The sequence below is a fragment of the Homo sapiens genome, chromosome 6, assembly GCF_000001405.40.
Source record: "Homo sapiens chromosome 6, GRCh38.p14 Primary Assembly".
Classification (NCBI taxonomy): domain Eukaryota; kingdom Metazoa; phylum Chordata; class Mammalia; order Primates; family Hominidae; genus Homo; species Homo sapiens.
Genome location: NC_000006.12, coordinates 35181766 through 35192507, shown reverse-complemented (window position 1 = coordinate 35192507; position 10742 = coordinate 35181766). Strand labels below are relative to the sequence as shown.

Here is a 10742-nt window from a genome sequence, read left to right as displayed (position 1 = left end):
AGGCGGCAGAGGAAAGCGCCTGCCCTCGCCTCCTCCCATCACCCCCTATACCCCTGTCCCTAATGAGGTGCTTCTGGCGGCACCTGACTTTTCCATTGCAAACACCACTTGACTCTCGGCCCTTCACACTCTCATGAGGTTCTAAGGGGCTGCACAGGCGCCGCCCACCCCAGCCATGCCCTGGGACTCACCACACACCAGGAAGGCCGGGAGCTGCAGCAAGGGGACAGCTTAAAACAGCCCCACCAACACCCCAAAGTGGGTCTCCCAGTTCCCCGAGAAGGCCTGGATGCCCTGCTGAAGGGTGAGCAGGGCCATGTGGGTGACTTGGAGGACCCAATTCCCCGGCCATGGGAACCCCCAGCCTGGGCTTTCTTTGGGGGTAGCTGAGACAACGAGCCCCCACCCAGAGCAGGAGATGACGCATTTTTTCTGTGGCCACAAGCCACTTTGACGGGTCCGCCCCACTGGGGAGCAACCGAAACCTCATCCCACCCAAAGCGGCCTTTGTCTGCACTACATATTTGTCTTATTTGGAAGATTTTTGTGGGTTTTCCTGTCTTTCTCCAGCGCTCACTGCCCTAAGGGGGACGAAGGCCATGGCGGAGCTGAGGGAAGGGGGTGAGAGGCATTCTTGGGGCGCTGTGCCTGGTGGTCTGCAGCACATTTGGGGGTGGGAGAGAAATCCACCCCACACACCCTCGGCGCCCCAGTGATGCCTTGGCCCCAGGCCACACTCTGGGCCTTGCCTGTCCTCTGTGGACTCGTGCCCCTCCTGGTCCTCCCAGAGCTGTTTCCTCTCCATCTTCTCTCAGCCTCCTCAGCTCACTCTCCAATACTTCTGTTTATTCCCTCATGTTCCATCCTTCCAGCCAGCTTGGCACCTCATCATTTCCTACCTCCCCCGTCATGGGACCCTCTGCTTTCTTTCTACCTGTCTGAATTCTGAAGACTCTCCCAGGGCTTGTTCCCCCATCTTGCCTCCTCCTGGGAGCCTCCCTGGACTACTGTAGCGCTTGGCAGGATCTCCTCCTTCTGAAATGTAAAAGTATGTGTTTTCTATCCTTTCTGTGATTCTAAACACACCCTGCCCCTATACCACCTGCCCAGCTAAATAGAGGCCAGAGGCCATGGCTTTTGTGCCTTGGCGTCCAAGCCCCATCCTGCCTTGTACAAAGCAATTGCTCAACTAATATTTGTTGGTTTGGGGCTTCTTAAGGGCTACCCATGAGATTACCAACAAATTAGAGAATTTCAGTGATGGAAGGGACCTAAGAGCTTGAATTCTTGCTAAGGGGTGTCTGGGTTCAGCTTACATACCTTTAATGACAGGGATCTTACCACTTCCTGGGGCAACCCATTCCCTTGCCTGTAACTCTGACCATAAGAAAGTTCTTCCCCACGTTGAGCTAAAACCTGCTGCCTTCTGGCTTTCCCCACCCTACTCCCAACTAGGTCACATCAAACTATTCCAGTCCTCTTTCCTCACGACCACCCTTCAGATATTTGAGGGCAGCAATCTCCTACCTCTGCAGTCTTTTCTTTTCCAGGGGGAAACACCTGTAGTCCTAACCTTCAGTGCCCCAATGCCCCTGATGACCATGGACTTTGGGTATTCCCCCCCACCCCTGTGCTGGGCCTCTCCCACATCCCTGCTGAACTCATTCTTCTCACAAAATCCCCCTTCTTTTGGGGTTAGGATGGATGTTACAAGCTTTCAAATGGGGCTTGCCTCCGTGTAGTGATTTGAGACATCCTAAAAGAAGGAAATCACTCTCTCACGGGGTTTTTTAAAAAATGAGGAGATGAGAGGAGTCCAGCAGCTGCCCTCTCCTCTCCTGAGGTAGCAGAATCCAATAACCAATTTTACCTGCACATGTCAGTGGAGGTAAAATTGCCACACACCTCAAAGGTTGTCTTGTGGGTCATTTATGTACATTTTAATATGGCTATTTCAGAGGGACTAGCAAATGTTTTAAACCAAAGGGGTGACTCATGGTGGCATTTCAGGCCAGTGAAATATTTTGGGAGAAGCAGGTCTTGTGGTGCCTGGCCTGCCTCTGCCTTGGCTCTCTCTGGGTGATGGAGAGCTTCCTGTCCCAAGTATATTGGCATTAGGACCAGGTACTTCCCAAGAGGCTGCCCCCTCCATACCCTGGCCCTCATAGCCTGTGCTAATTATTGAAACTTATGCTTTCCTGCATTGTAGAGTTGACTATCTTTCTTATGTATCTTTTTCTTATAGCAAATGAAGGACTCCTTGAAAGAAGTGGCAGGGATCTCAAAAATATTCTTATCAATGTTCTGTATCTTGATCATAGTGGTGTTTACACAAGGGTATGCATTTATGGAAACTCATCAAACTGGACACTTTAAGTCTGGGGTACCCAACCCCCAGACCAGTACCTGTCTGTGGTCTGTTAGGGACTGGGCTGTATAGCAGGAGGTGAGCAGCGGGCAGGTGAGCATTACCACCTGTGCTCGGCCTCCTATCAGATCAGTGGCAGCATTAGATTTTCACAGGCACTCAAACACTATTGTGAACCACGCATGCAAGGGATCCAGGTTGCATGCTCCTTGTGAGAATCTAATGCCTGATGATCTGAGGTGGAACAATTTCATCCTGAAACTACCCTCACCCTATTCCTGGTCCATGGAAAAATTCTCTTCCACAAAACTGGTCCCTGGTGCCAAAAAGGTCGGGGACTGCTGCTTTAAGTGGTTGCATTTTATTGTATGTGAATTATAACTTGATTAAGGTGGTTTTTAAAAAATGTTTTCATATCCCTTAGAGAGTCTGGAGTCACATCCTGCTGATACCTGGGTTCAATGTGCATTTCTGGATTGATTTCCTTAGTTAAGCTATACCCAGAGCTATAGCCAAGAGCCATTTTAGCTTTTATTCTCAACTCCTGATCTGACAGGAGGCAGAGCACAGGTGGTAATGCTCACCTGCCCGCTGCTCACCTCCTGCTGTGCAGCCCAGTCCCTAACAGACCACAGACAGGTACTAGTCTAGGGGTTGGGTACCCCAGACTTAAAGTGTCCAGTTTGATGAGTTTCCATAAATGCATACCCTTGTGTAAACACCACTATGATCAAGATACAGAACATTGATAAGAATATTTTTGAGATCCCTGCCACTTCTTTCAAGGAGTCCTTCATTTGCTATAAGAAAAAGATATATAAGAAAGATAATCAACTCTACAATGCAGGAAAGCATAAGTTTCAATAATTAGCACACTGCTGACTTGACGTGGCTCCTCAAACAACCAGACAGAAATAGAGCTCTCCATTCACTGACCTTGCCTCTGACCCGATCCTCCTACCTGGTGGCTCAGGCCCAAATCCCAGGAGACACACTTGATTCCTCACCCTGCCTGTCTTGCAGGATTGCTTTAATATGATTATTGGCACCACTAATACTGCTGTGATTACAGTTCCCTCATACACCTGCCCCCAGCCTAGTCTTGCCAACTGCTTACCTAGAGAATTGAAGGCTTCTTGTTGGCCTTCTGAATGCAGGGGCACTACCACCCAAGGGTGATTCACCAGACCGTGGCTGTTGCCTTGAGCCTTCCAGCCACCCTGTTCCAGAAGCCTGAGGGGCCACCAGCTTTGAGCCAAGGTTCTAGCCATCCTGTCTGAGCTTGGCTGAAGGTGTTTGGGCCCTCAGATCCTAGGCCCTTCTGCCCAAGCACCTGGCTTTTGTCTTGTCATGAGTTTATGAGCATGTCCTTTAAAAAGAAGACAGTGGGCTGGGCGCAGTGGCTCATGCCTGTAATCCCAGCACTTTGGGAGGCCGAGGCGGGCGGATCACAAGGTCAGGAGATCGAGACCATCCTGGCTAACATGGTGAAACCCTGTCTCTACTAAAAATACAAAAAAAAAATTAGCCAGGCATGGTGGTGGGCGCCTGTAGTCCCAGCTACTTGGGAGGCTGAGGCAGGAGAATGGCGTGAACCTGGGAGGCAGAGCTTGCAGTGAGCCAAGATCATGCCACTGCACTCCAGCCTGGGCAACAGAGCAAGACTCCATCTCCAAAAAAAAGAAAAAAAAAGAAGACAGTGGTTTCCTGTGGGTAAGAGAATGAGGTGATTTCTCACCAGACTGCAAGCTCACTGAGGGCAGAGACTGAGTTCTATCCCCCTTCATTACCCTCAGCTTCTAGTTGTGTGCTTGGTACGTAGATGGTGTTTGATAAACATATATGAACTGACTTAATGAGTTCAATTTAGGCCAGGCACAGTGGCTCACGCCAGTAATCCTAGCACTTTGGGAGGCTGAGGTGGGAGGATCGCTTGAGACCAGGAGTTCAAGATCAGTCTGGGCAACATGATGAAACCCTGTTTCTACAAAAAATACAAAAAAAACTAGCAGAGCCTGGTAGTGCACATCTGTAGTCCTAGTTACTTGGGAGGTTGAGGTGGGAGGATCACTTGAGCCTGGGGGCAGATGTTGTAGTGAGCTGTGATTGCACCACTGCACTCCAGTCTGGGTGACAGAGTGAGACCCCGTATCAAAAGGAAAAAAGAGTTCAACTTTATTAAAACCTTCGGGGAATGTCCCACTCATCAAACATAACCAAGTGATGGTGAGGATGTGGAATGACTTGGTAAAACCATTTTAGAGAGCTATTTGGCAATATGTCATCAATAGGAAGATGCCCTCCTAAGTCTTTACTCTGAAGAAGCTCTGTTTTGTAGGTGCATAAGAATGTTCATGGCAGTGCTGTATGTAATCATGAAAAGCTGGAAGCAGCTGACATGGAGACTGGACATTACGGTAGTCACACAAGGGACTGTATACAGCACAGAACCAATCACAGCTTCACTCATCAATGTGGGTGGCTCTCAGAAACACACAGTAGATCAGAAAAGAAAGTTGCAGATGAATATATACAGTATGATACCACTTATATGGTCTTTAAATACATGCAAGACACTATTACATATCGTAAATATGGAGAAATAGATAGTAAAACAGAGAAACACAGGGAATGGCAAATATCACATTCAGGAGAATGGTCACCTCTGTGGGGAGAGCAGAGAGATGGGATTGCATCAGGTACACAGAGGGCTTCCCTGGTATTGGCAAAGTGTTATTTCCTAGGTTGGTAGGTACACGGTGTCTGTGATATAATTCTTTATTCTGCGGTCATCATTACTGTTGTCCACCAAGCATTTCTGGGTCCTTCCCCTTCCAAGCGCCTGGTAGGATAGTAATTTCAGGTTTTCTGTGGTTGGGAGAGGCCCTGTGACTAGTTCTGGTCAATGATTTGTGAGCTAGAGCATTAACTGCCTTTTTGAGACCCTCTAGATTCCTTTCTTTTTTTTTTTTGAGACAGGGTCTTACCCTGTCACCAGACTGGAGTGCAGTGGCACAATTACAGCTCACTGCAGCCTCCAAGTCCTGGGCTCAAGTGATCCTCTTGCCTCAGCCTCCTGAGTAGCCGAGACTACAGGTGCACACCACCACACCCGGCTAATTAAAAAAAATTTTTTTAGAGACAGGGTCCTGCTATGTTGCCTAAGCTGGTCTTGAACTTGGCCTCAAGTGATCCTCCTGCCTTGGCTTCCCAAAGTGCTGGGATTACAGGCATGAGCCACTGTGCCCGGCATCTCTTTTGCTTCTGACAGTGCTTCAGATGGTGGCTGTTCCACCAGCCTGGGTCCCTAAGTGATTTCAATGGTCAGAGTCCCCTGCTCATCCACAAAGGGCATGTAGCAGAAGTGAGAAGCAGTAAGTAGCAGAAGCAGAAGTGTGTGTTAAGCCACTGAGATATTGGGGTTTTTACTGCAGCATAATCTAGACTATTCTGATACATACCTTTTAGTGTGTCTAGAATAATTAAATTAAAAAATTAAATGAGGAAAATATCCATAGCTTTCACGCAAGTTCTAAGATAAGACAAGAGAAGGGGGCTTAAGAGAGTAGAAGGCTGCATTTCCATTGCTGTTTCCTAAAGACAAAAAAAAAGACATTTCCTAGCTCCCTTTTACCCCTTGGGTGGCAGCAGCAATGAGTTCAGGAAGACTTTGGGCTGGGGTGTCCCTGGTATTTCATTACACCTCTCTTGGAAACTCATTTAGCACCACTGTGCTTTCTCCTCAGCTTCAGGAAAAAAGCCCAGCAATCCCCAGGCATTAGACACCTGCAGGGCAAAACTTGGTTTGGCACATTGTTTGGGCTTCTAAGTCCCCCACCTCCCCAAAACTGCAGCAACATCAGCCAGAACAGATATGTAAGATCAGAGCAGACAGGATGTGAGGGAGTTCTTGCCTTAGGTGCCTGGCAAGAATGTGAACCTCAGCTCCTGGGAGCATGGGGCTGGATGGCTCTGTCACACAGTCTACAGCCCACTGACACTTCAAATGCCAGCTTCCTGCCTTCTTGCCTCCGGAGGAAGCATTCCTGGATTACCTTGCCTGGAAGGGAGGGGAGGAGGAGCTGCAGGTAATACCTGGATTTCTATGGTGCTTTTCTTCCTAAAGGTTCAAAAGACATCCCTTCTCTGATCTCCTGTGGCCTTCCCCAGAAATAGGGCAAGGAGAGGAAGACTCTCATTTCCCAGTCCAGGTAAAGAAATGAGGGTCCAGAGAGGTTAAGCAAATGGCCTGAGGTCATATAGCAGGACAAGAGTATGATTCTGGTGGGCAAGGGTCTATGTCTCCACACCCCATCTCTCCCCATCCACTACCCCAGACCTACCCTGCTGGCCAGGCTGGCTGGCCCCTGTATGTGGGCAGCAACCTTAGTACTCTCAGTAGCCTTTGCAGAGGGGTGAGCTGGGCCTTGAGTGTCCACTCAGCTTGTCCTGGGCCTGAGCAGAGAAGAGGAAGAGGAGGAACTGGGAGAGGCTAAGGTCAGCCCCCCCCACCCCCCCACAATCTCCCAACAGAGCAGTGATGACAGGTTGGCCTTGAGCCCCGTGGTCCCGCCACTGGGAGGTCAGGCCAGGAGGCTGCCAGAACACCGGGGCTGAAGAGGCTCCAGATAATGCAACTGGGGCAGGCTCTGTGGGTGGAAATGACATTTCTTGACTTTAAATAGCTCCATCTCCAGAGCCCCGGAGCCTCGGCAGGGCTATTAATTCCTGGACTCCCAGGGCTGCCTAGCCCTGTCATTCTGTTTGCACAAGTTGTGTAAGATCTCAGGCATTTTTCCTGCCACCCGTCTCCCCCACCTCCCTTCAGGTTTCCTGTGCGATTTCAACAAGGGGTTAGTTTATTTCCAGTTTCAGGCCTGGGATTCGAACTGACCACATACATATTTTGTCCTTCTTACAAGTGACACGGCTCAAGTCAACAGCAAACTCTTAAGGGTTTTCTTTGTAACCTGGTGTCTCTGTAATGAAAGGTAATGTGTATGTGAATGGACGGCAAAAAGAGAGGCCATCTCTATGCATGCATGTGTGTGTGTGTATCAAGTTAATTAATCAATTGATTAATCAAACCCCCAGATTATTTTTGAGTGCTTACTATGTGTCAGGCACTGGGCTAGCGCTGGGTACAAAGGGTAAACAAGAGTCCTAACTGATTAAAAAAAAAGAAAACTGTTACCACCCCCAGGGAAGGCCCCTGGTGGTGTCTCCTGGCCCAGCTGGGCATCCCTGACAATAGTTCCCAACATCTCTGCATCGTGCCCACACTTGCCAAGCCCCCGGTTATGTGCCATGCTGAGAATGATGCAGAGAAAAAGACAGGTAGGTGCAGGAGGTTCTAAATGCAGAAAATCAACAGGTCGTGGTGGCTGACTGGCTGGAGAAATAAGAATCAACGATTAGTCAATGACAAGTCCAGGGTGTTCAGCCTGAGGACACTTAGACTGTTGGACCTTTGAGGGCAGACATGGCAGCTCCTACATATGGGGAAAGCACCTGGTGGGTTCAGCATTCCCTGGTCTTCCCTGTGTCCAGGCTGGGCATTTCAAGGACAGCCTCAGGGAAGACACATTTTTAATCATTTTGACTGGTGTGTGTGTGTGTGTGTGTGTGTGTGTGTGTGTGTGTGTCTGTCTGTCTGTCTGTCTGCTATTGACATCTAGTGGGTGGAGAATAGGGGTACCACGAAACATCCTCTGAAGCACAGGACAGCCCCACCCACAACAAAAAATTATCCAGCCCAAAATATGAGTAGTGCCAAAGTTGTGAAGCCTGAGTTTCTGTGAATCTGATCACTAGGTCCACAGGAAACTTAAATCATCCCAGTTTCACCCAGACCCATGCAATGTGGACTGACATTCAAGCTAACCCTAGGCCTCCAAAAGGCCTGTTTAACCACCGAGGAAAGCCTAAACCATGCATATCATACCTGACTTCATTTATTGGCTATCTGTGATGTCTCAGGTTATTTACATAAATTACTGCTAAGCTCTTCCACAACTGTAAAGAGACAGGTGGCGCAATCATCATTATCTCTATTTCACAGATGAGCAAACTGAGGCTCAGAGAGATTAGATAACTTATCCAATAGCACACAACTTGTAAGTAACCCCAAAGCCCACTCTATTCTCTATACTATTACTATACATATATCTGCTTATAGTCTCATCTTTTGAAAGCTCATAATTGGGTGTAACAGATGAGGGAACTCTCTATTATCTAGACCTTTCCATAAACTCCAAGCACCTCCTTCCCCAGCCATTCTGGGTGAGTGGGAATCTCTATGCTTAAAGCATGTAAAGATGTACCAAGGGGATGTGGTTCCTGGAAAAGCAAAGCCCATGGCCAGCAAGGAGATGAAAATTTGCTCAAGTTTATTAAGGGGTCAGGGAAGTACAAATTAAAGTAACAATCAGATACTTCAGGGTGGTTTCAGAGGACTAAGAAATCACCAAGGGCTGTGCCACCTATTTGCCGCTGGGGTGTGGGGGAAAAGCACCCTCATTCATTGTTGGCCGGGACATGGACATTAAGTGTTAGACCTTCTGCAAAAGCAATCTGAAATATTTTCTAAAATTAAATCCAGGGACAATTCAGCCTAGCAATCCAACTTCTGGGCACACAAAGATATGTGACAAGGGCTTTTATCACACTGTTGCTCACAGTAGCAAAAAACTGGAAACACAGTGGATGCCTGTCAGAAGGGGATAGTTGAATAAATTATCCACACCATGGGGGTGAGGAGAGAGGATCTGCTGTAAAGGGGCAGAAGAACTGTTTAGGGTGAGAGAACTGTTGATTAAGTACAATTACCCAAATTCATCCAACTATAAACTTAAAGTGGGTGAATTGTATGTAAATAATTTTTAAAGAAAAGACTGCTATGCAACCAAACCAGTTCCTATGAGGTATTAATGGACAAGAAAAGATACAGAAAAATATCACTCAAGATCCCATTTATATACCTTTGTGTGTATGTAAATGTATAGAGAGATGCTTGCATATGTTTATATGAACATGGAGAAAAATATAGAAGGGTTCATTCTAGGGTCTTAGTATGGGTTACCTGGAGATGGAGGGCAAGAAAAGTCAAGAAAAAAGGAAAGGAAACGAAAAGAGAACAGACTTTAAAAATATGTGTGATATGGTCAAGAGATCGAGACCATCCTGGCCAACATGGTGAAACTCCGTCTCTACTAAAACTACAAAAATTAGCTGGGCGTGGTGGCGTGCGCCTGTAGTCCCAGCTACTTGGGAGGCTGAGGCAGGAGAATTGCTGGAACCCGGGAGGCGGAGGTTGCAGTGAGCCGAGATACGCCACTGCACTCCAGCCTGGCGACAGAGCGAGACTCCGTCTCAAAAAAAAAAAAAAAAAAAAAAAAAAAAAAATATATATATATATATATATATATATATATATATATGAATTATATATATGTATATATGATATGGAATGTATGTATTTATGCAACTTCTAAAAGTGTGTTGGACCCGAGCTGGGGAGGAGGTGCGGGCCCCCGGGGTCCCCTGGGGTCCGCGGGCCGGAGACTCGCGCTCCGGGCGGTGAGTCACAGACAGGCCCGGCTTGGCCGGCGCCTGCGGGCGCTTTGCAGCTGCACCTCGTCGGGGGCGCGGAATCCCTCACCTCGAGGAAAGCAGACGCCCGCCGCCCGGGAGACAGACCGCGCGGGGGTTTTCCAGCGGGGGCGGAGGCCCCTGAAAGGCGCATTGTCAGCCTGGGGAGGCGACGCGGCGCGAGGACAGCGGGACAGCGAGGCTGGGGGTGGGGTTGGGGACCCCAGCTGGGCGCCCGGTGGCTGCGTCGCAGATCCCTCGCCCGCCACGTGGGCCCTGATTCTCCTGATGCTGGGTGGGAGGCCCACAAAGCTCCTACTCCGCGCAGAGGCGACTACCGCCTGCACGGGGTCCGGAGCTCAGTGTCCAGAGTGCCCCAGGATTTGTGCACAGTTTTGCCTCACGTTAGAGCCCGAGAACAGCTCCAGCAGGTCCTGGAATTTGTCCGTGTTTGTGGCTCCCTCCTTGGGGCCCAGCAAGGAGCCTGGCACGTTGCCAGCGCTCAAGAAACATTTGCATGGTGAATCACAAGGGCCTTCGGCAGAAGTTGCCAGGGAACATCATGCTGAACTCTGGGCTCCACAGCCACACCCTCCCTCGAGAACCCTGTGCAGCCTTCCTGTACTGTTAGAACCCCACTTGCTTGATGGGCTTGATCATTAGGCTTCCATAGCTGTGTCCAGCCTCCTCAGCCCGACAGGGAGGCCCTGAGGGCAGGGACTGTATCACACATGTGACCACTTCCCAGAGCAAAACTGCAGGCGACCCCGCACACAGTAGGTGT

The 10742-nt window shown here is 49.0% G+C and overlaps 2 annotated features.

The window, feature by feature from the left end:
• Positions 6882-7176: a silencer, noted in NCBI's record as "tiled region #4993; HepG2 Repressive non-DNase unmatched - State 8:EnhW". NCBI's record gives its function as "represses a minimal TATA promoter and a strong SV40 promoter by Sharpr-MPRA in HepG2 cells {active_cell/tissue: HepG2}" and the evidence as "EXISTENCE:reporter gene assay evidence [ECO:0000049][PMID:27701403]".
• Positions 7571-7952: a silencer, noted in NCBI's record as "fragment chr6:35152333-35152714 (GRCh37/hg19 assembly coordinates)". NCBI's record gives its function as "represses an EF-1alpha promoter that drives an FKBP-Casp9 reporter gene in an ReSE screen in HepG2 liver carcinoma cells {active_cell/tissue: HepG2}" and the evidence as "EXISTENCE:reporter gene assay evidence [ECO:0000049][PMID:32094911]".